At 45.7% G+C, this 25747-nt stretch overlaps 1 protein-coding gene and 1 pseudogene across 4 annotated transcripts in view; one reads left to right on the forward strand and one right to left on the reverse strand.

The window, feature by feature from the left end:
* Positions 1-25747, reverse strand: part of CEP89 (centrosomal protein 89) — a 96034-nt gene that overhangs the window by 65024 nt on the left and 5263 nt on the right. For all 4 annotated transcript variants that reach the window (XM_005259344.4, NM_032816.5, XM_017027398.2 and 1 more), the window contains exons 2-5: positions 25412-25518; positions 18952-19110; positions 12667-12853; positions 7318-7420 (exon numbers count right to left, since the gene is read on the reverse strand). In XM_005259344.4, the coding sequence (XP_005259401.1) occupies positions 7318-7420; positions 12667-12853; positions 18952-19110; positions 25412-25518 (556 nt within the window). The remainder of the gene's footprint in view (positions 1-7317; positions 7421-12666; positions 12854-18951; positions 19111-25411; positions 25519-25747) is intronic.
* On the forward strand, positions 22560-22917 carry RPL31P60 (ribosomal protein L31 pseudogene 60; annotated as a pseudogene).

The following is a 25747-nucleotide window of genomic DNA, read 5'->3' on the forward strand; positions in this document are numbered from 1 at the left end:
CAGGGTTCCCCCACGTTGGCCAGGCTGGTCTTGAACTCCTGACCTCAGATAATCCACCTGCCTCGGCCTCCCAAGGTGCAGGGATTACAGGCGTGAGCCACTGTGCCTGGCCCTGAGTTGCTTTTAACTTTCTACTATTAATTTGCAGAGCAGAAATAACCAGCTGAAAATAAACTGGAAACACATGCAAAAAATAGGTGAAAAAACCCTACAAAATTCAGACAACAGAAGAAAATGCTAGAGATACATACAAGATTCTAAATCTACTTCCTGGTTGGGCACGGTGGCTCATGCCTGTAATCCCAGCACTTTGGGAGGCTGAGGTGGATGGATCACTTGAGGTCAGGAGTTCAAGACTAGCCTGGCCAACATAGTGAAACCCCATCTCTACTAAAAACACAAAAATTAGCCGGGCATGGTGGCACTTGCCTGTAATCCCAGCTACTTGGGCGGCTGAGGCAGGAGAATTGCTTGAGTTTGGGAGGCAGAGGTTGCAGTGAGCCAAGACTGTAACATGACACTCCAGCCTGCGCAACAGAGCAAGACTCCATCTCAAAAAAAGAAATAAGTAAATAAATAATAAATCTACTCCCTGATGCATTGAGCAACTCGTCACTGAAGAGCTCATTTTTGGCCAAAGTCATCTTGATCAACTGTTTTTAACCAAACTGCTTTCAGTCAAATGTCCAGGGGCAGCCTGGACTGCTCTCCTGCGTTGGACACCAGGTGAAATCCTGCCCTGTCCTTCTGAGTTCAGCTTGATGAACCCTCCTTTCCCTACCACCTTCCCTAACTGAGAGACAACCACCTCTACTGCCCACCTTAGCACCCCAGACTACGGTTTGCAATCTGCATCTCCTCCTCTGCAGCTGGGATGCGAGGGGAAAGGCCTGTGGCTCTATCATCTCTGACACACGGCTGGCACTGAACAAATTTCCAATGAGCAAATGTTTAAAGTGATACAATAAGAAAAAATATATATTTTTAATAACACCTTTACAATAGTCTTGATTTGGTATCACACAATGCTACCTCAGATCTGACTGCTTTCATATTTAATGGAGTCTTCTATGTCCCCCTTAAATTCTTCACAAAATAAAATTGGGGGAGCAGGGAGTTACATGAAATAGAATGGCAAAAGGTTGACAGCTGGTCGGGCACACTGGCACATGCCTGTAACCCCAGCACTTTGGGAGGCCGAGGCAGGTAGATCGGTTGAGCCCGGGAGTTTGAGACCAGCCTGGGCAACAGAGCAAAACCCCGTCTCTACAAAAAATACCAAATTAGTCGGGTGCAGTGGAACACACCTGCAGTCCCAGCTACTCGGGAGGCTGAGGCAGAAGAATCACTCAAGCCTGGCAGGCAAAGGTTGCAGTGAGCTGAGATCACGCCACCACACTCCAGCCTGGACAACAAGAGCGACCCCGCCTCAAAAAAATAAGAAAATTGTTGACAGCTATAGAAGTGGGGAGATGCATAGGTGGACAAGTGGGAGTTCATTTTACTAGTCTCTCTACTTTTGTACACATTAAAAATGATCACAATAAAAAGTTTTTAAGGGGCAATTCAATTTTCCCAAAGGAAATCATGCTATTTTATCTTAGTCATGAACTTTTCAGAAAAAGAGTCTCATAAAGATTAAACTTACAATTTACAGCATCCCAAATTCATGTTGTATTTAATGTACATTTAATGTACACGCAGTTCACTTGGTTCTGTGAATCTACTTTGTGTCCTGTGTTCTTATTTATCATTTCTCAAAAAGATTTCCAGAGTCCTCACCCTCCTCATTTCTATTACCTATATGGGTGAGGGGGATAGACATAAAATAACAGCAAAAGGCTTCAATACTGGGCATACTCCTGCTGCATACAAGGTGTCATGCTGGGTCTATTCCAGTCTTTTTTTTTTTTTTTTTTGAGACAGGGTCTCACTCTGTCACCCAGGCTGAAGTGCAGTGGTGGAAACTGCACTGCAGCCTCAACCTGCCGAGCTCAAGCGATCTTCCTGCCTCAGCCTCCAGCTGCCAGGCTCAGATGATCTTCCTGCCTCAGCCTCCAGCTGCTGGGCTCAGATGATCTTCCTGCCTCAGCCTCCAGCTGCCGGGCTCAAGTGATCTTCCTGCCTCAGCCTCCAGCTGCCAGGCTCAAGTGATCTTCCTGCCTCAGCCTCCAGAGTAGCTGGGTCTACAGGTGTGTGCCATTATGCCGGCTAATTTTTTACATTTTTGTAGAAACGGGGTCTCCCTGTGTTGCCCAGGCTGGTCTCAAATTCCTGGGCTCGAGCAATCCTCCTGCTTTAGCCTCCTAAAGTCCTGGGATCATAGGCCTGAGCCACTGTGCCTGGCCCTATTCCAATCTTTATAGAAAGAAAATTCACATGACATGAACACATTCTTGCTGTCAAAAATTTTAATGACACAGATAAATCAAAATTCACCCATGACCATAATCCCTCGAAACCTTCCCCTCTCCAGAGGTAACCATGGTTATCAACTGGGTATGGTTCTTTTCAGATATATTTGAGCATATAAGGATGTAGTGGCTCATGCCTGTAATCCCAACACTGCGGGAAGCCGAGATGGGAGGATGGTTTAAGCCCAGGAGGTAGAGGCTGCAGTGAGCTATGATCACACCACTGTATTCCAGCCTGGGTGGCAGAGCAAGATCCTGTCTCAAAAAAAAAAAGTCAAACCCCACAACTCACCACGTTTCACATGCCTACATATAAGAGACATTAGGTAGTGGGGAGGGAGAGTAGCATGTGCACAGGTCCAGTGGCAGGAAGGAACACCACAGAGTTGAGGAAATAAAAGAACAGCAGAGTAGCTGGAAAGCAGTCAGCAGGGGCTGGCAGGCCAAGCAGATGGTGGGACACCATGGAAGAGATCCAATTTAAAAGGGTCTGGGGTATGTGGGGGTGTGAAGGGACGCATGTGGGGGTCCGTGGACGTGCAAGGGGACACTACCAGCTTTGTGCTTTGAAAAGATGGCTCTGGGCCAGATGAGGTGTCTCATGCCTGTAATCCCAGCACTTTGGGAGGCCAAGGCAGGTCAAATGTTTGAGCCCAGGAGTTCAAGACCAGCCTGGGCAACATAGTAAAACCCTGTGTCTAACAAAATACAAAAATTAGCCAGGCATGATGATGCACACCTGTAGTCCCAGCTATTCAGGAGGCTGAGGTGGGAGGATCAACTGAACCCAGGTTGAGGTTGCAGTAAGCCATGATCATAACACTGTACTCCAGCCTGGGCAACAGAGTGAGACCCTGTAAAAAAAAAAAAAAAAAGACTCTTCTTCTGACTGAGGGGATGAATGAATGAAGTCAAATGGTTACATGGCATAGAAGCTGCGAAAGGAAACCTGGGCGCAGCACACAACGAATGATAGCAAACTGGGGAGCAGGCTGTGAGTGCTTCGAAGAGTAAAGGGCCTAGACTGAGGAGATGACGGGTGGATGCCCAGGAAGGCAGGAGGAAACGAGATGTCCTGAGCCCAGGGAGAAGGTATGTTAACCACGTGGTATGCTCCTGAGACATCATCAGATGAAGCCAGAAAACCATCCAGTGCACTTAACTACATGAAGGTCTCTGGTCCAGTGGTGCGATGGGGAGGGAAGCCAAGCTGGAGAGGTATGAGGAGACATGGAGAGGGAGAAGGCCTGGAGAGGTGTATCACTTGACAAAGCTGTTAAGGAGAAGAAGGAGGAAGTACTAGCAAGAGGGGACTGTGGGATCAAAGAAGGGTCTGCAGAGAATCTAGGAAAGGGGAACAGCGTCCACGAGCATGAATTTGGCAGCTCTGACCAACGGTACAAGGGCCTTGCCCAAAGTGTGTTTGGTCTTCTTGGCAGAGGTCTCGCTAGAGTGCAGAGGGATGCACCAGGTGATGAAAGCTTCAGGCTTTAGACACTAATCATCACTAGCACTGATGGAAGCCACTGCACTTTACATTGTCACTTCATTTATGAGACAGACACTCTAGATTGAGGAGAAAATGAGGTAAGTAAGTTAGCCATGCCTAGAAACGACAGAGTCAAGGACCAAACCACCAAAAGCCAGGGTTCCTCATGTGTTGTCCAAGGATCACCCACAACAGACTCCTCTGTGTACTTGTGAAAAGTACAGACCCTTCGAGACCAGTCTGACCAACACAGAGAAACCCTGTCTCTACTAAAAATACAAAATTAGCCAGGTGTGGTGGTGCATGCCTGTAATCCCAGCTACTCAGGAGGCTGAGGCAGGAGAATGGCTTGAACCCAGGAGGCGGAGGTTGCAGTGAGCCAAGATCGCGCCACTGCACTCCAGCCTGGGCAACAAGAGTGAAACTATGTTTCAAAAAAAAAAAAAAAAAAAAAGTACAGACCTCTGGGCCCAGCCCTGAGCCACTAAATTACAGTTTGGGGTCTGGGGTTTTTCAGAAGTATGCAGGGGCTTTTAATGCCCACCACAAACCAGGCATCACTGCAGGAGCTGCAATCCCTCCCAACCACCACCTGTGTGCCAGGTGCACGTTCCCAAGTATGTGGGTGGCCACGGCCTCTCATCTCCAAATCCACCTTCATGGCCAGCTCATGTTACTGCAGCATTTCCACCCAGCCAGTTGGTACCATGGAAGGCTTCCTCTGTAGAGGGTGCTGGAGAGACGCTGGAGGAGCTGGGGCTTTGCTTTCTGATTCCAGCTTCCTCTGGCTCTTCCTTCCATGCATTAATTTCTTTTTTTAATTTCTGGTTTTAGAGTCCAAGGGTCTCACTATATTACCCAGGCTGGATTCGAACTCCCAGGCTCAAGTAATCTTCCCGCCTTGGCCTCCCAAGGAGCTGGGATTACAAATGGGATTTCATGCGCAGATCCTTTCTTTAATTTTTTGGGTGGCCAGCAACATGCAGTACCTCCCCATGGTGGCTTCTCCTGGCCCCCTATCCCAGTGAGTTTCATTAGGGCAGCCCCTCAGCAAACTTCTTGGCCACCCGGCAGGCCACAGCTACATCCTCTCCAGGAAGGTGTGGATCTTGGGTTCTGGCTGAGGCTCCTCCAGAGCTGCTTCCTCCTGAAGCATCAGCCCTAGGAGCAGTGGCTGCTCCCCTGAGCTGCTACTCCTGAATTCTTCAGTATTCTCTTTACTCCTTAGTAGGCAATCCTGTTGTTATTATTATTATTATTTTTAGAGACAGGGTCTCACTCTGTCACCTAGGCTGGAGTGCAATGGCACTATCACATCTCACTGCAGCCCTGACCTCCTTCCTGGGCTCAAGTGATCCTCCCATCTCAGCCTCCTGCATAGCTGGGACTACAGGTGTGAGCCACCATGCGCAGCTCCCAAACCTGTTATTATTAATCATTCTTTATAGTAAATTTTCCCTCTTCAAGTCATTGTGTGTGTTCTGACTCCTGATTGGACCTTGACTGATATATGCTACATCAGGCCACACAATGCAGATGTTACACAAGGCAGGAGAGAACCAAATCTGGGGACATAGAAAGACATTTGGCATGTGTTGTGAGATGAAAGAAAGGTAACAAAACAGCATGCACTTTATATACATATACTCTCTAAATTGTTAAAAATCTTATCTGTGGGAGCACAATTAAGTGTGTTTAGCTTTATGATATGGTCTGGCTGTGTCCCCACTCACATCTCATCTTGAATTGTAGCTCCCATAATTCCCTCATATTGTCGGAGGGACCCAGTGGGAGATAATTGAATCATGGGGCGGTTTCCCCCATACTGTTCTCGTGGTAGTGAATAAGTCTCATGAAATCTGATGGTTTTATAAGGGGAAACCCCTTTCTCTTGGTTCTCATTCTCTCTTGTCTGCTTCCATGTAAGATGTGCCTTTCACCTTCTGCCATGACTGTGAGGCCTCCCCAGCCACGGGGAACTATGAGTCCATTAAACTTCTTTTTCTTGATAAGTTACCCAGTCTTGGGTATGTCTTTATCAGCAGCGTGAAAACGGACTAATGCACTTTATATATTTATGTATTTTTTTTACAGTGAGACAGTATTACTTTTGTAATTTAAAAAGAGATGCACCTTTTACATAAATCTAATATTTAAAAAATACGCCAACTGACCAACAGGTGTTTTCTGGCCCCAGGATTATGAGGCTGGCATTCTGTGTTCCCTGAGAAATGATTTACAGAAACGTTTCCCTGAGCCCGAGCAACTCTAGGGCTGCTGATAAAGTAGTTATTGGTTGTCCACTTGATGCCTGGCTCTCCTTGTCACTTCTCAAATGTGAGCCACCTCTTAGGAAACTGAAAACTTTTCCCTACCTTTGTTATAACATGCTGAATTCTCTCATTGGGATAATCAAATAGATATATGTCCACGTACTCATTCACCCAACAGATCTTTCCTAGTGGGCCACTGTGGGCCAGGTCTTTCCCCAAGCACTGGGACTAGGGAGACCCTATCCTATCCCTACCTCTATTGCTTAAACCCAGGAGTTCAAGACCAGCCTAGTTAACATGGCAAAAAAAAACAGCACCTTGTACTTTAAAAACAACCTAATATCCAGAAGCAATTGACTGCAGAATAACTTTTCCTTTTTTTTTGAGATGGGGTTTCACTCTGTCACTCAGGCTGGGGTACAATGGTGCGATCTCAGCTCACTGCAGCCTCTGCCTCCAGGGCTCAAGCAATCCTCCCACCTCAGCCTCCTGACTAGCTAGGACCACAGGTACATGCCACCATACCTGGCTACTTTTTTGTATTCTGGTAGAGATGGGATGTCCATTTTTTGTAGAGAGAGTCTATGTTGCCCAAGCTGGTCTCAAACTCCTAAGCTCAAGAGATCTACCCACCTTGGCCTCCCAAAGTACTGGGATTACAGGAGCGAGCCACCACACCCAGCCTTATTTTCTTGAGACAGGGTCTCATTCTGTCACCCAGGCTGGAATGCAATGGTGCAATCATGGCTTGCTGCAGCCCTGACCTTCCGAGCTCAAGTGATCCTCCCACCTCGCCCTTCTGAGTAGCTGGGACTGTAGGCGTGCACCACCTTGCCTGGCTGATGTTTTTATTTTTACTTTTTGTACAGACGATGTCTCCCTGTGTTGCCCAGGCTGCTTTCAAATTCTTGAGCTCAAGGGATCCTCCAGCCTTGGCCTTCCAAAGTGCTAGGATTACAGGCGTGAGCCACCACACCTGGACCCTCATTTTCAATAAAAAATAAATTTCAATTATATTCCTAGTTAAAATCACAGAGCTACAGCATGAAGGGGCAATGGGTATGTTTTCCTAAAAATAAGCAATATTCATTATGAAAAAATGTTCTTATATTTTATAAAAATTGTGGTTTTTTTTTTCTACCTTTTTGTTGTGTCCGCTGTGGTGCAGGAGGGGAGCCTGGAAACCCATCTTGATGAGAAATATTTTCATCGTCTTCACTGTTCACCTCATGTAACAATGGCACCTTTTTGTTATAAAAGACAAAGGAGCAAAAAAGTGAGAAAGGTAACCTTTATATACAGCATGTCCTCCTAACAAATTCCAACATCTTTCAAACCTTCCCCACTGGGAGCTTCCTCCATGGGCACTTCAGCTGCTTTCCTCAGTGACACACAAAAGGCGTATATCAGGTGGGGCTGGATGACACTTCCAGGCCCTCAGGAAAAGCTTAGGGGGCAAAGGCAACACCATTAAAGTTATGCTAAGGCCACTGAGAGCTCCACATCCCAGCCATGTTGCCAGGGCAGCTTCCCTTCCTCATCCCTGCCAGGGACCACCCAATGCCACTCCACCCTGGTACTGACACCATGTTACTAGTTTCCCCCCACCCCTTTTTTTTGAGACAGGGTCTCCTCTGTCACCCAAGCTGGAGCACAGTGGTGTGATCACAGCTCACTGCAGCCTTGACTTCCCACGTGCAAGCGATCCTCTCACTTCAGCCTCTGGAGTAGCTGGGACCACAGGCGTGCACCACCACAACCAGGTAATTTTTTTTTTATTTTTTGTAGAGACAAGGTCTCCTTATGTTGCCCAGGTTCGTCTCAAACTCCAGGGCCCATGCGATCCTCCTGCTTCAGCCTCCCAAAATGCAGGGATTACAGATGACAGCCACTGCACCCAGCCTGTGTTAATCATTTCTATGTGGGACAAGCAGTGCTGACCTCCCCTGGGAGGACTCTCATTGAAGCCTCCTATGTTCACCAATTATGTAAGTCCACTGTAAATTTCATTTACTGAGGGACTCCCCTCTACTGACTGAGAGTAGCTCCTATATAGGTAACCATTCATGTTAGCTATATAGGAGCTGCTGAAATTTTGTTTCATCCCAACATGGCAGGGACACAGAGTTGTCCTTTAGAGAGGCCCATGGGCCAGGAATGGGACCTGCCGCTGATGAGGAGGAGATATTTCCATTGGCAGGAGCCTGGGGGTAGGGACAGAGGCTGCCTAAGAGGAAGAGAAAGAACAGTGAAGCAGGTCTTTTTTTTTTTCTTTTTTTAAGACATGGTCTCACTCTGTCACCCTGGCTGGAGTGCAGTGGCGCAATCATGGCTTGCAGCAGCCTTTACCTCCTGGGCTCAAGCAATCCTCCACCTCAGCCTCCCAGTAGCTAGGACTACAAGCGTATGACACCAAGCCCAGCTAATTTTTAAATTTTTTGTAGAGATGGGGTCTCAGTATGTTGTCCAGGCTGGTCTTGAACTTCTGGCCTCAAGTGATCCTCCTGCCTTGGCCTCCCAAAGGGCTGTGATTACAGGCATGAGCCACTGCACTCGACCTGAACCAGTTGTTACATGGTAAACTGTGACTGGCGCTGTCTGGGTGGGCTGCCCTTTGGCTCTCCTGATTCTTCAGTAAAATCTTGCTTTTGTGATCAGTTTGGCTTAGCTGGGCTGCACTGCAGGCAATGGAAGGGCTGTCCCTGGGGCTGACAAGGAGGTGGTGGCAGGGACTAGCAAGACGCCCATGAGAAGGGGCATTTCAGAGTAAGAGCTAAGGCTGCTACGTCCACCTGTCTCTGTGGACATGGTTCCAAGATGACCTGGCTCAAGAGAAGCAAACAGGTCTCCCAAGATACTCATCATTTGAAGAAAGAAAAAGTAAATGGCCCCGTACTTTTTTTTTTTTTTAATACAGACAGGATCTCACTATGGTGTCCAGGCCAGTCTTGAACTCTTGTCCTCAAATGATCCTCCCACCTCCACCTCCCAAAGTGGTGGGATTATAGGTGTGAGCCACCACGCAAGGCCGACCTCAAGCTTTTTTATCTCCCAGGAACAAACTTCCTTGTTCAACCTGTCAAAAATATATTAAGTGACTCACTATTCTCAAGGAAATGTGAAATAGGTAAGATGACTTAAAAAGCATTAGGGGCCAGGTATGGTGGCTCACATCTATAATCCCAGCACTTTGGGAGGCTAAGGCAGGCGGATCACCTGAAGTCGGGAGTTCAAGACCAGCCTGATCAACATGGAGAAACCTTGTCTCTACTAAAAATATAAAATTAGCCAGGTGTGGTGGCACATGCCTGTAATCCCAGCTACTCAGGAGGCTGAGGCAGGAGAATTGCTTGAACCCAGGAGGCGGAGGTTGCAGTGAGCAGAAATCGTGCCATTGCACTCCAGCCTGTGCAATAAGAGTGAAACTCTGCCCCCTTCACCCCCACAAAAAAAGCATTAAGAAGATGCTCAATATGGACAATCGTTTGGCAGTATCTACTGGTACTAAAGCTGATGGTACATATACCCTATGACCATACACATACCATTCCTCAGTATATACCCACCAGAAATACACAAATATGTACATCAAGGGACACATCGCCAAATGTTCACAGCAGCACTATTCCTAAGAGTCCCAAACTGGAACCAATTAAGTCTCTGTCATCAGTAAAATGAATAACTGAGTGGCACGGTTGTACAGTAAAATATACAGCAATGAGAACAAACCCGCCCCTGCTATACACAATAACTGAAGACTCCCAAACTCCAAATAATGCATATCGTCTAATTAAATGCATGTAAATTTTCAGAACAGGCAAAGCTAATCTCAGGTTATTTTTAAAGATTAAAGCTAATCTTGGCAATGGTTAACTCTGTGGGAAGTAGTGACTAAGAAGAAGGGTGATTTCTAGGGTACAAGTAATTTTTTTTTAATCTGAGTGGTGGCTACTTTTTGAAAATGTATCGAAATGTGCACTTATGATTTACTCACTTCTTGTGCATATTTTATATATCAATAAATAAGTCTACTAAAAACATACCTTCATAAAGAATTTGTGATACTTTATATAAACATACTTTAAAAGGCTTGGCTGGGCGCAATGGCTCACGCCAGTAATCCCAACACTTTGGGAGGATCACCTGAGGTCAGGAGTTCGAGACCATCCTGGCCAACATGATGAAACCCAATCTCTACTAAAAATACAAAAATTTGCTGGGCATGGTGGCGGGCACCTGTAGTCCCAGCTACTTGGGAGGCTGAGGCAGGAGAATCACTTGAACCCAGGAGGCGGAGGTTGCAGTGAACCAAGATTGCACCACTACATTCCAGCCTGGGCGACAGAGCAAGACTCTGTCTCAAAAGAAATAAACAACAACAAAAAATTATATATATATATATATATATATACACACACACACACACACACACACACACACACGCACACTACTACAGTTGTTTACTTAAACTTGTAGTAAAAGAATAAAAACACAAACTTCCAGGATGCACTCCAAATCCAAGAAAAGATGAGTTTCCAAGGAGGGAGTGGGGTTAGGGGACAAGGCAACATCTACCCTAATGGTAACATTTTATTATTTATTATTTTCTACTTTTCACATGTTAAAATTTAAAAATTTTCCTACTACACATGGCTCCTAAAGCCACCCTAACAGACTTGCCTAAAAAAACAAAATATCTGTCCTTCTAGCAAGGAAAGAGTCTCTGTAGGTCACTGTATCTCTTTCTTCCAAGGGAAATATTGTAGTAAGCTTTCCCTCTAGAACAGTGGAGAGATATGACTCTATGTGTAACATCGGTACAAAATAACCAGCCGGCAAGTGTGCGGGTGAGGAGCAGTGGGACTGATTCTGAGCCCTGCAGAGCTCGACAGGAGCACAGTTGTCCATATTGAGCTCTGGGCAGTGTCTGCCTATTCCAGAGCTGCTTGCTATGAGAAGCCTAATTCTATGTGTGAAAGTCTGTATATGTGGGAAAATGATGGTGAGTTCATGAAACAGCCACATAAGGATCCCTCAAAATAAGCTCCTGAAGACCATTTAAAATGTATTTTAGGGCCAGGGGCGTTGGCTTATGCCTGTAATCCCAACACTTTGGGAGCCCGAAGCAAGAGGATTGCTTAAGCCCAGGAGTTCAAGGCCAGTCTGGCTAACATAACAAGACCCTGGCCCTATAGAAAAAAAAAAAAAAAGCCAGTTGTGGTGCCGCGTGCCTAAAGCCCCAGCTACTCGGGAGGCTGAGGTGGGAGGATCACTTGAGCCCAGGAGGAGGTGGCTATAATGAGCTAGGATCGTGCCACTGCACTCCAGCCTGGGGACAGTGAGACCCCATCTCAATTTAAAAAAAAAAAAGTGTTTTAATATAGTAGGGGCTAATTAATATACATATAATCAATACCGGTGTAGCTTAATGCTGCTGGTCTATATGTACAGACACTATGAATAACACATTATAATGATGGTGAAAAAAAGAAAAAGGGGCTAGGCACAGTGGCTCACACCTGTAATCCAGGTACTTTGAAAGGCTGAGGCAGGCGGATCGCTTGAGGTCAGGAGTTCAAGACCAGCCTAGGCAACATGGAGAAACCCTGTCTCTACAAAAAGCACAAAAAATAGCCAGGCATGGTGGTGTGTGTCTGTAGTCCCAGCTACTTGGGAGGCTGAGGTGGGAGGATCACTTGAGTCCAGGAGGTTGAGGCTACAGTGAGCTATAATGGTGCCACTGCACTCCAGCCTGGAGGACAGAGCAAGACTCTGTCTCAAAAAAAAAAAAAAAAAAAAAGAAAAGAAAAAGAAAAGAAATGAAAAGAAAGAAAAAAATAAAGGAAAAAGGGATATGGTGCTATATTTTGCCATTAAAGAAATGTCATTATCTAGTTTCCAAAACCCTGGGAGCAGTTTAAAAATCGGGATTCGCAGAGCAGCTGGCAGTGGAGAAGTATGTTTCCTTGAATCTCTCTGTGTGCAGTGCCCTGATGTGTGACAGGGCAATGAAGGGAATTCCTCAGCGAGTCAGTGGGGGTCAGCTAAGATAAATGCACACAGGAGTTAGAAACGGGAGCGCTCACAGTAAACACTCAAAGCACGTCAGCTCCCATTGAGACACGCATGACGATCTTCCCCGTCAGGCATGAATTTAAAGAAAGGCTGCAGTGTGCAAAATGATACCATAAAAGTGATAGGAAATTTAGCTTCCAAGGTCAAAGAAAAGAACGAGATTGCTAAGCTGTGAATGGAACTCCACATTAACAATATGAAGATGTTAATCTTTGTTTTTGCAAGATAAAGGAAAGAAGTTTATGTTTTAATCTAACCAGATAGAAATGAGGCTGGACACGTTTAAAAAAATAAGCCCCAAAGCAAATGCTATCAAATGCAGAATAGAGAGAAGAAATCCTTAGCAATGCACTAATTTACCAAAAGTTAACATCAGGGTGAATGTCAAGAAGAAAACTGGGAACATAGAAAACACCTGATTTCTGTGTGGCACAGCGTACAGGTCATCACTGTGGCCTCCTCTGTCCTCCCGGGCACTGACATCCCCCAATTCCTTGCCGCTGGATGACAGCTGAGTTTCAATGTCCTCTTCGTCCCCATAGTCCAGTGTTTCAAAGGATGGCAAAGAAGATCTTCTTCCCATCTCACTCTGCCAATTTGGCCTGTATTAGAATATTCATGGGGAAAACAAACAAAAAGTCACTTAACACTTGACACTGATAAATATCTTTTTTTTTTTTTTTTTTTGAGGTAGAGTCTTGCTCTGTCGCCCAGGCTGGAGTGCAGTGGCACAATCTCGGCTCACTGCAAGCTCCGCCTCGTGGGTTCACGCCATTCTCCTGCCTCAGCCTAGTGAGTAGCTGGGACTACAGGTGCCCACCACCGCGCCTGGCTAATTTTTTTTTTTGTATTTTTAGTACAGATGGGGTTTCACCCTGTTAGCCACGGTGGTCTCGATCTCCTGACCTCGTGATCCGCCCGCCTCGGCCTCCCAAAGTGCTGGGATTACAGGCGTGAGCCACTGTGCCCGGCCAGTATCATGTATTAAATGCACTGCCTCCAAGTCCTTACCATAAATGTGGGATACTACAAAGTACACAGAAGCTAAAAGATTAAATTTTCCACCGTCCCATCTCTTTGTACACTTGGCATATCCTTCTAGTTTCTGTTTTTAGAGTTACTGCATACATATACAATTTGTCTTGTTATGAATAAGGGTTTTTTGTTTTTTTGTTTTTTTTTTGAGACAGGGTCTCACTCTGTCTCCCAGGCTGGAGTGAAGTGGTGCAATCATGGTTCACTGTAGCCTCAATCTCTCTGGGCTCAGGTGATCCTCCAGTCTCAGCCTCCCAATAGCTGGGACTAACCAAGCCCAGCTAGTTTTTGTATTTTTTGTAGAGACGGGGTTTCACCATGTTGTCCAGGCTGGTCTTGAACTCCTTGGCTCAAGGGATCCGCCTGCCTCAGCCTCCTAAAGTGCTAGGATTACAGGCATGAGCCACTGAGCCCAGCCTGTTGTTATTATTATTGTTATTATTATTTTGAGACAGAGTCTCACTCTGTCACCCAGGATGGAGTATAGTAGTGCAATCTTGGCTTACTGCAACCTCTGCCTCCCGGGTTCAAGTGATTCTCCTGCCTCAGCCTCCTGAGTAGCTGGGATTACAGGCACTCGCCACCACACCTGGCTAATTTTTCTATTTTTAGTAGAGATGGGGTTTCACCATGTTGGCCAGGATGGTCTCAAACTCCTGACCTCAAATGATCTGCACACCTCGGCCTCCCAAAGTGCTGGGATTACAGGCCTGAGCCACCATGCCTGGCCCCAGCCTGCTATTAATAAGTATTTTTATTTTTTAAATTGAGACAGGGTCTCATTCTGCCACACAGGCTGGAATGCAGAGGTGCAATCTTGGCTTACTGCAGCATCCACCTCCCCAGCTCAAGTGATCCTCCTACCTCAGCCTCCCGAGTAGCTGGGACTAGAGATGCACTCCACCATACCCAGCTAATTTTTTGTTTGTTTGTTTATTTGTATTTTTAGTAGAGAAGGGGTTTCACCATGTTGCCCAGGCTGGTCTCAAACTCCAGAGCTGAAGAGATCCACCCACCTCAACCTCCCAAAGTGTTGGGATTACAGGTATGATCCACTGTCCCCAGCCTATTAATGAGTTTTTATAGTCAACATTTTAAAAGGTAGGAATCCACTAGATATACCAGCTTAACCAGCCATTTTCCTTGCTTAGGTGGGGTTTTTTTCCTTCACTTTCCATTGTTGTAGATAACCCTGTAATAAACATCTGTGTGCAGATAACCCCTACTGTATTTAAGGTTACTCACATAAAACAAACCGCCATAGAGTAAATTCTTTTTTTCTTTATCTTTTTTATTTGAGATGGAGTCTCGCTCTGTCACCCAGGCTGGAGTGTGGTGGCGCGATCTCAGTGCACTGCCACCTCCGCTTCCCGCGTTCAAGTGATTCTCCTGCCTCAGCCTCCCGAGTAGCTGGGACTACAGGCGCCTGCCACCATGCCTGGCTAATTTTTGTATTTTTAGTAGACATGGGGTTTCACCACATTGGCCAGGCTGGTCTTGAACTCCTGACCTCAAGTGATACGCCCGCCTCAGCCTCAAAAAGTGCTGAGGTTACAGGCGTGAGCCACTGTGTCCGGCCCATACAGTAAATTCTTGAGTCAAATGGTGTGAACATTTTGTGTCTACATACATACTGCACAAAATCATTTCTCCAAGCTATAAATACACTGGTAATAATTTTCTAAAACTTGCCAAAACAACTTAAAACCCACTGTCTAAATTTGCATTTGTTACTGAGACTGAATGTTTTTCCATATACTTGTGTTCAGGTCCTTTGTCTGTTTTACTTCTGGTATGTCCATTCCAATTTGGTTCTTTTTTTTTTTTTTTTTTTTTTTTGAGATGGAGTCTCGCTCTGTCCCCCAGGCTGGAGTGCAGTGGCTCCATCTTGGCTCACTGCAAGCTCCACCTCCCGGGTTCACGCCATTCTCCTGCCTCAGCCTCCTGAGTAGCTGGGACTACAGGCGCCCGCCACCACGCCAGCTAATTTTTTGTATTTTTAGTAAAGACAGGGTTTCACCATGTTGGCCAGGATGGTCTCGATCTGCTGACCTCGTGATCCGTCCATCTCGGCCTCCCAAAATGCTGGGATTACAGGCGTGAGCCACCGCACCCGGCCTGTTTTTTCTTTTTTTATTTTTGTTTTTTTTTTTGAGACAGGGTCTCACTCTGTCATCCAGGGTGGAGTGAAGTGACAAGATCATACTGCAACTTTGACCTCCTGGGCTCAAGTGATCCTCCTGCCTCAGCCTCCCAAGCAGCTGGGACTACAGGTGAGCAACACCATGCCAGGATGATTTTTGTATTTTTTTGTAGAGATGGGGGTCTCACTTTGTTGCCCAGGCTGGTCTCAAACTCCTGATCTCAAGCAGTCCTCCCACCTCAGCCTCTCAAAGTGCTGGGATTACAGGTGTGAACCACCACACTTGACTTCCATTCCAATTTGAAATTACTAAAATTAATCTACTAAAATTAAAGTCCTGACTTTGCTTTTACTATAAATGTTTTTTCTGTTCTATTAATATTATTTTGCTTATATAAATTTCTTAAACATAAAAGCGATTAAAAAGGTTTTTTTACTTTCTAAATTCTTGGTGTAAAAGCAAATAGCAGTCATATCCCTGAAGAGGTGTGATAAGACTGGATATTGGATTTCACAGTCTTATTTGTGTGTCTATAGAGTATAGTCCTTCATTCATTAGGAATTTATTTTAGTGTATGACTTAGGCGAGGCTCAAAGCTGATTTCTAATACTGCTAATCAATATAGCACTGAATGCTTTCCTTCCCCTTTGAGCTGTGGGACAGGCTTTATTAAAGATTCAGTATGCTTGTAGAAACACTACGTTCACCTCAGGGCATTCCTGGGCACCTCTGTATCACTCAACTAGTCCTACACTGTTCTTGCTACTTTATCTATATGTTTTAAAATATGACAGGGCTGGGCACAATGGCTTTTTATTGCATCAATTGAGGGGTAGCTGTTGGGATGTTCGTGGTTAAAATATAATTTCTGGGCTCTGACTGGGTTGCTTTTTAGTCTCTTGTTTTTAGGGTTTGGCAAAGGTAGGTTTACCTAGGTTGATGGAAAAGTCAGAGATGGGGTGGTTGTGGATTTAATCGGAAATAGTTCTTGAAATTGAGTGTATGTGCGTGCATGAGCATGGCTCACACCTATAATCCCGCACTTTGGGAGGCCAAGGAGAGAGGATCTCTTGAAGCTAGAAGTTCAAGTCCAGCCTGGGTAATATCAGGAAACCCTGTCTCTACAAAATAAAAATAAAAATTAGCCTGGGCTGGGCACAGTGGTTCATGCCTGTCATCCCAGCACTTTGGGAGGTCAAGGTGGGCAGATGGCTTGAGGCCAGGAGTTTGAGACCAGCCTGGCCAACATGGTGAAACCCTGTCTCTACTAAAAATACAAAAATTAGCCAGGTGTAGTGGCGCACAACTGTAGTCCCAGCTACTCTGGAGGCTGAGGCAGGAGAATTGCTAGAACTGAAGAGGCAAAGGTTGCAGTGAGCCGAGATCATGCCACTGCACTCCACCCTGAGTGACAGAGCAAGACTCTGGCTCAAAAATAAATAAATAAATATAAAAACAAATAAATAAATTAGCCAAGCACGGTAGCAAGCATCTGTGGTACCAGCTTCTTGGGAGGCTAAGGCAGGAGAATCACTTGACCCCAGGAAGAGGAGGTTGCAGTGAGCCATGATTGTGCCATTGCACTCCAGCCTGTGCAACAGAATGAGATCCTGTGTCAAAACAAAACAAAAAAATCCCCCCCCCGCCAAAAAATAAAATACAATGGGGATAGTCCAGCACTCCTGTGGGTCAGACCATCTCCTCTGATGGTCTTACGTGCTTATTTTTTCCACTGAATTTTAGAACGATTTACTCGTTTTTAGTTTTTACTCAGCCAAAGTATAATGCTTACCAGGAAAAAAAAAAAGGTTAAATTCAAATATCTCAAAATGGTAGCAATATTTTTGGCCAAAACAAAAATAAAAACAAGCCCTAGAAGGAAATACATTAAGTATTTATATAATACTAATAGTAGGAAGGGTCTTACTAAATTTACAATTATTACAGAAAATGTAAAGAAAAAATGGATAGATTTTACTAAATATAAAATACAGAATATTTAGTATATCAAAAAAGCCTACACAGGCCAGGCATAGTGGCTCACACTTGTAATCCCAGCACTTTGGGAGGCCAAGGTGGGCGGATCACCAGAGGTCAGGATTACAGACCGGCCAACATGGCAAAATCTCATCTCTACTAAAAATACAAAAATTAGCCGGGAGAGGTGGCACACGCCTGTAATCCCAGCTACTCAGGAGACTGAGGCAGGAGAATCGCTTGAATCCAGGAGGCAGAGGTTGCAGTGAGCCAGGATTGCACCACTGCCCTCCAGCCTGGGCAACAGAGTGAGACTCTGTCTCAAAAAAGTCAACCCAACACAAAGGTGAATATACGTGACAATTAAAAAGGCAAATGTGGCCAGGCATGGTGGCTCACGTTTGTAATCCCAGCACTTTGGGAGGCCGAGGCGGGTGGATCACCTGAGGTCGGGAGTTCAAGACCAGCCTGACCAACATGGAGAAACCCCGTCTCTACTAAAAATACAAAAATTAGCCAGGTGTGGTGGCGTGTGCCTGTAGTCTCAGCTACTCAGGAGGCTGAGGCAGGAGAATGGCTTGAACCCAGGAGGCGGTGGTTGCAGTGAGCCAAGATTGTGCCATTGTGCTCTAGTCTGGGCAACAAGAGTGAAATTCTGTCTCAAAACAAAACAAAACAAAACAAACAAAACAAAAAAAAAAAAAACAGACAAATGTGATCGTGGATCCCTACTCCCATCCCTGCCCCATGCACCCTTAGAGACCTCCAGTGTCTTCCCACCACTCCAAAGGCAGACACCAACCCTCTAAACAGGACACCAAAGGCACCCCCAGCCTGGTCCCTGCCCACTCCTCCAGCCCCATCTCGCATCCCAAACATCCTCTTTCCACTGCCACCTGTGTCACACTCCCTCGTTTCTGTCTGGAAAGCTCATCCCAGCCCCACAAAGATCATGCCTAGCCCTTGAGCTGTTCCTAGATGATTCCTGTACATCCTAAGCTCTCCCCTTGACCCTTTCTTCCTCAGGAGGAAACCTTCCTGACCCCCTAGCCCTGTGTCAGCTCAAACCCAGGACAAGCAACAAAGGAAAAGATGATGAAGAAAAAAGGCTAAACTGCAGCTGCCAAGAAGATCAAATTAATGTGAATGTCCAGAGATACACGTGAGAGGTAAGGAGGGACCACTCTCACTGTTCAGGTTGCTGCACAAAGAAACTTACTAAGGGCTGGAAGCAGCGCTGAATTCATTAGCTCTGTGCCGCTGTGAAAATGGCCAGGACCCATACAAGTCAAAATCTAACAAGATCCACTATGGAGGAAATCCAGATCGCAGAGCAATTAGGTTGCTGGACAGTGTCCATTTGACATTGGTGATGAAAACCCAGTGACTAAGACTCTAGTCATAAATACATGCATGAGCACCCACGCACCCACACAGGTACACATGCACACACATGTACGCATGCACACATACACGTAGAGACCAGGCTGAGCCTGCCCCTCTTCCACTCTCAGAGGAAGCAGAGGCGGCGATCTGGTACCTACCGAGGCCTCAGCTGTGAGGTGGTGGCATAGGGCTCGATGAAGCTGTCCTGTTCAACACTGCTCACATCACTCTCAGACCGGGACCTCTGGCGAGGCTGAGGAATAGCAACCGTCCGCCCAGTCAATGTTGTCGCCAGAATGGCTGCTGCCAGAGCAGATCTGCGGACAAAAACATCCCATGGAGACAGTGAGACATGAACATTCCAGGTGAATGCTGAACAAGGTACATAAACTCATCAAGGCTTACCTTCTGCTGGACAGTGTCGACTGAGCATTTACTCTGCACCCATCATCTACCGCAGGCCATCAGACAATCTCATTTGATTCTCACACAACTGTATGACTACATATTATTGTCATCCCATTTTCCATAGAAATTAAATGACTTGTAAAGATTACCTAGCCAATAGGAGGTAGAACAGGGCCTCTAATCCAGGCAGACACAAAAGCCTACATTCAAGTAGTTTTCTTATTAGAATGGAAGATCAGAATGGAAAAAGAAAATGAGATATAGAAAGACTAAAAGATTTAAAAGGGGACTTTAAAAATACTTGTGAATTACTCAGGAATATTTTACAGGAAAGTTAGAGTAAACAGATTTACCCTCCTGCCTAAAAAAGTAAAACAAGGCCAGGCGCGGTGGCTCATGCTTATAATCCCAGCACTTTGGGAGGCCGAGGTGGGTGGATCACGAGGTCAGGAGATCGAGACCAGCCTGGCTAACACGGTGAAACCTCATCTCTACTAAAAATACAAAAAAATTAGCCAGGTGTGGTGGCGCGCACCTGTAATCCCAGCTACTCAGGAGACTGAGGCAGGAGAATCGGTTGAACCCGGGAGGTGGAGGTTACTATGAGCCTACATTGCACTACTGCACTCCAACCTGGGCAACAGAGCAAGTCTCCATCTCAAAAAAAAAAATAGTAAAACAAAACAAAAGACCACCGTCCCAGCTTGCTGCCTAGGAAAATTTCCAGGTCACAGCACAGGGAGGAGGAATGGGTGGAGCCAGGCAGACTCCCTGAGTTGCAGAGATGGAGCTGAGAGAATGTGTAGGATAGAGTGCCGGAAAGGAGAGAACTGCACAGAGAGAACGAGGAGATCTGCAGAAGGTCCCCTAGTTTCAGCGGGATACAGTGCAGCACACAAGTGTGAGGAAATTACCAGACAGTGGAGGAAGAACCATTCACCAGGATCAGAGGAGCAGTGCCAGGTGCTTACATACAGCCCAAGACGGCAGCTGCTCCCACCAGGAAGACTGGAGAAACCTATCATTCACAAGATGCCGGGTGCAGCACTCAGAAAGGTCTGGCCTGGGTACTGGGGAATAATTAGCCCTGGCTGGGCACTGCTCCACACCCCACCTAACAAATCATATAAGAAAGACCCGGCCAGGCACAGTGGCTCACATCTGTAATCCCAGCACTTTGGGAGGCTGAGGAGGGCGGATCATGAGGTCAAGAGATGGAGACCATCCTGGCCAACATGGTGAAACCCTGTCTCTACCAAAAATACAAAAAAAAAAAAAAATTAGGTGGGCGTGGTGGCGGGTATCTGTAGTCCCAGCTACTTGGGAGGCTGAGGCAGGAGAATGGCGTGAACCTGGGAGGTGGAGCTTGCAGTGAGCCGAGATCGCGCCACTGCCCTCCAGCCTGGGCGACAGAGCGAGACTCCATCTCAAAAAAAAAAAAAAAAAAAAGAGCATCAATCAGATGTGGGATAAAAACCACCATTTTTCATATTTTGGTTTTGGGGCTTTTTTTTGAGACGATCTCACTCTGTTGCCCAGGCTGGAGTACAGTGGCGCAATCACAGCTCAGTATAGCCTCAACCTCCTGGGCTCAAGTGATCCTCCCACCTCAGTATCTTGAATAGCTGGGACTATAGGCACACGCCACCACACCTGGCTAATTTTTATATTTTTTGTAGAGATGGGGTCTCAATATGTTCTCCAGGCTGGTCTGGAACTCCTGGGCTCAAGTAATCCTCCTGCCTCAGTCTCCCAAAATGTTGGGATTACAGCCATGAGCCACCACGCCCAGCTGCTGTTTTGTTTTAAATTACTACATTTTGGTGCAATTGTCACACAGCAATAAATAACTAATAGCCTTACCATCAAATGGTGCTGGAAAAATCAAATTTCCATATGCAAAAAAAAAAAAAAATCATGGATCTATACCTTACACACTGATATGGTTTGGCTCTGTGCCATTACCCAAATCTCCTCTCAAATTGTAATCCCCATGTGTCGAAGGAGGAAAGTGATTGGATTATGGGGGTGGTTTCCCCCATCCTGTTCTTGTGATAGTGAGCTCTCACAAGAGCAGATGGTTTTACAAATGGTAGTTTCTTCTGAGCTCTCACATGCTCGCTCTCTCTCATCTGCCGCCATGTAAGACATGCCTGCTTCCCCTTCTGCCATGATTGTTGGTTTCCTGAGGATTCCCCAGCCATGCAGAACTGTGAGTCAATTAAATCTCCTTTGCTTATAAATTACCACATCTGAGGTAGTATCTTTACAGCAGTGTGAGAACGGACTAATACACGCACCATCTACAAACACTAACTCTAAATGGATTACAGACCTAACTGTAAAGCCGAAAACCATAACACTTCTAGAAGAAAATATAAGAGAAAACCTTTGTGACCTTAGGTTAGGTAAATATTTCTTCAATATGAGATACTGAAAGCATGATCCATAAAAGAAAAAATTGTAAGCTGGACTTCATAAAAATTAATAACTTCTGCTCTTTGAAAGGCACTGTTTAAGAGAATGAAAAGACAAGCCATAGATAGAGAGAAAAGACTTGCAAATCACATATTTGATAAAAGACTTGTATTGATACTATATAATGAACCCTCAGGATGCAATAATGGAAAACAAGCCAGGGCTGTGATGTCTCCAGGAAACCCACAGTCTTCACCCAGGTCTCTGCTTACGTCTCCTGGATGAAAAATGTCATTGCCTCCAACTGAACATGATCCTGAGTCCAACGGCCTTCCCAAGATGGTTCTTAGATCTGCAACAGGACTTGTGACCAACAAGGAATGCCCAATTTTTATAAATGGGCAAAAGATGTGAACAGATGCTTTACTAAAAAAGATATAAAGATGACAAATAAGCACATGAAAAAAATGCTCAATACCATTAGCCATTAGAGAAATGCAAAATAAGACCAGGCGCGGTAGCTCACGCCTGTAATCCCAGCACTTTGGGAGGCCGAGGCGGGTGGATCACTTAAGGTCAGGAGTTTGAGATCAGCCTGGCCAACATGGCAAAACCACATCTCTACTAAAAATACAAAAATTAGCCGGGTGTGGTGGTGCATGCCTGTAATCCCAGCTACTTAGGAGGCTGAAGCATGAGAATCGCTTGAATCCAGGAGGCGGAGGTTGAAGTGAGCTGAAATCGTTCCACTGCACTCCAGCCTGGGTGACAGAATGAGACTCTGATCAAAAATAACAGACTCCATCTCAAAAACAAAAAAACAAAAATAACCACAATGAAATACTAGTACACGCTCATGAAATGTCCAAAATTTTAAAAACTGACCAAGACAACCCCTTGTGCTCTTTTATTCTAAACTGGGCCTATGAGAATGGATTCCACAAAGGAGGGCAATAAGAAGGGTTGTTCTGTCGTCAACAAGGTTGTGACCAGAAAGCACACTATCAGCACTCATGAGCACACCTATGGAGTGTGCTTTAAGACACTGCCCCTGGCATACACAAAGAGATCTGGAAATTTTCCATGAAAGAGCTAGGAACTCGAGATGTGTGCATTGATGCCGGGCTCAACAAAGCTGTCTCAGACAAAGGAGTAAGGAATATCCCTCACCCTATCTGTGTACCACTGTCCAGAAAGCGTAATGAAGATGAAGATTGATCAAACAAGCTCTGTACATTGGTTAGCTATGCAACTGTCACCACTTTCAAAAACCTACAGTCAATGTGGATGAAAACTAACCACTGACTGTCCAAGTTATAAAAGACCACACACACACACACACACACACACACGCACTCACACGCATGCACATGAACACACACACACACACACACACACACACACACACACACACTCTGACCAAACCAAGTGTTGGTGAGAATATGAAGCAACTGGACTCATATACTGTTGGTGGGAACATAAATGGGACAATGACCTTGGAAAATAGTTTGACAGTTCCTTAATAAATTAAATACCTGCCTAGTATAAGGCCCAGTTATAGATATTTACCCGAGAAATGAAAGTATGTATCCAAACATTTGTGTATACATTTTTTTTTTTTTGAGATATAAGTCTCGCTTTGTTGCCCAGGCTAGAGTACAGTGGTGCGATCTGGGCTCACTGCAACCTCTGCCTCCAGGTTCAGGCGATTCTCGTGCCTCAGCCTCCCCAGTAGCTGGGACTACAGGAGTGCACCACCACACCCAGCTAATTTTTGTATTTTTAGTGGAGATAGGTTTTCACCGTGTTGACCAGGCTGGTCTCAAACTACTAAGCTCAGGTGATCTGCCTGCCTTAGCCTCCCAAATTGCTGGGATTATAGGCATGAGCCACCACACTCAGCCAGTGTGTAAATGTTTACAGCAGCCTTTTTCTAGTAACCAAAAATTAGAAACAAACTAAATATCCATCAACAGGAGAATGGATAAACAAACTGTGGCATATTCATATAATGAAATACTACTCAGTAAGGAAAAGGATGAATTATTGACTTTCGGAACACGCGTTAATCAGAATAATCATGCTGAGTGAAGGAAGGCAGTGTATTTTATGTAACTCCACTTATATAAAATTCTAGAAAATACAAGCTAATCCATAGTGTGAGAAAGGAGATGAGAGGTTGCCTGGGGATGAACAGGAGCATGAAAGGTGGCAGAGAGGGGCAGGGGGAAGGAATTACAAAGGAGCATGAGGACCCTTGTCAGAATGATAGATATATTTATTATCTTTTTTTCTTTTTCAGGAGCTACCCTATTAATTATCTTTTTAAAATAAACTTTTTTAGAGGCAGGGCCTCACTCACAACAGCCTCACTGTTGCTCAGGCTGCAGTGCAGTGACATGATCATAGCTCACCGCAGCCTTTTCCTCTTGGGCTCAAGTGATCTTCCAGCCTTAGCCTCCCGAGTATCTGGGATTGCAGACATGCACCATCATGCTCAGATAATTTATTTTCTTTTGATTTTTGCTATAGATAAGGATTTGCTATGTTGCCCAGGCTGATCTTAAACTCCTGGGCACAAGCAATTCTCCTGCCTCAGCCTCCCAGGATCAGTTTACCCTAGGAGTTCAAGACCAACTTGGGCAACATAGTGAGACCTCCATCTCTGCAGAAAATTTAAAAAATTAGCCAGGCATGGTGGTGTGTACCTGTAGTCCCAGCTACTCAGGACGCTGAGACAGGAGGATCGCTTGATGCTAGGGGGTTGAGGCTGCAGTGAGTCACGTTCGCACCAATGCACTCCAGCCTGGGCAACAGAATGAGACCATATCTCGAAAAAACTTTTTGTTTTGGCCAGGCACAGTGGCTCACGTCTGTAATCCCAGGCACTTTGGGAGGCAGAGGCAGGTGGATTGCTTGAGCCCAGGATTTCAGCCTGGGAAACATGGCAAAACCCTATCTCTATAAAAAATAGAAAAATTAGTTGGGCATGGTGGTACATGCCTGTAGTCCCAGCTACCCGGCGGGCTGAGATGGGAGAACTGATTGAGCCTGGGAGGTGGAGGCTGCAGTGAGCCATGATTGCACCACTGCACTCCAGCCTGGGCAACAGAGCAAGATCTTGCCTTGAAAAAAAAATTAATAATTAAAAAAAAAAAAGAAAATGGGCTGGGTGCGGAGGTTGATGCCTGTAATCCCAGCACTTTCAGAGGCCAAGGCAGGCGGATTAAGAAAGAGGTCAGGAGTTTGAGACCAGTCTGGCCAACATGGTGAAGCCCCATCTCTACTAAAAATACAAAAATTAGCTAGGCGTGGTGGCATGTGCCTGTAATCCCAGCTACTCCGGAGGCTGAGGCAGGAGAATTGCTTGAACCTGGGAGGTGGAGGCTGCAGTGAGCCAAGATTGCGCCACTGCACTCCAGCCTGGGCAACAGAACAAGACTCCGTTTCGAAGGAAAAAAAAAAGAAAGAAAATTATGTGTATAATTCAAAATTCCCTGTTAACCTGAATACTTGGGCTTTAATGCTTTACATTTTTTTTTAAATACTCATTGCATTCAATCATGAAATGTGAGAAGTTCATGCACCTGAAAAGGAGAGACCTCAAGTCAGTCCATTATCCTCAGAGACACCATATTAATTGCATCATTATGGAATCGTGGTAAACATTTTGAAGGACATGATTCTAACCACCCTACTTATACTTTTCTGGGCAGTTTGAGCAGTTCCAGGATCCAGTACTTGGAGGCTGAGCACAGGGGTGACCTCAGTGCCTGCTCATCTGATACTCACCTTGGTCTCTCTGGAGATGGGTTGGGGCTGCGGGGAGGAGGTGTGCGTGGCACAGCTGCCTTCGGAGCAACGCTGGCTGCAGGTAAAAGGCCATGGATGATGTGTTTCTGCACAAATGAAATCCAACAGAAGTCACTGGGTTGGGTCACTGGATCACCTGAGTCTTGTCACCACTCTCCCTGGGCCTGCAAGGGGACACCTGCACTGGCCACCCATGGATCCAAACCCATCAGAAGCCCACTCCTCCCCTGCCATCCCCAGTCCCCATCAGGCCAGACAAGTGCACACAGCCAAGGAGCATCATGATAGCTGCTCATTGTGTGGCCCTCTTGTCCT

Source organism: Homo sapiens, chromosome 19, assembly GCF_000001405.40.
Source record: "Homo sapiens chromosome 19, GRCh38.p14 Primary Assembly".
In the NCBI taxonomy this organism is placed as follows: Eukaryota; Metazoa; Chordata; class Mammalia; order Primates; family Hominidae; genus Homo; species Homo sapiens.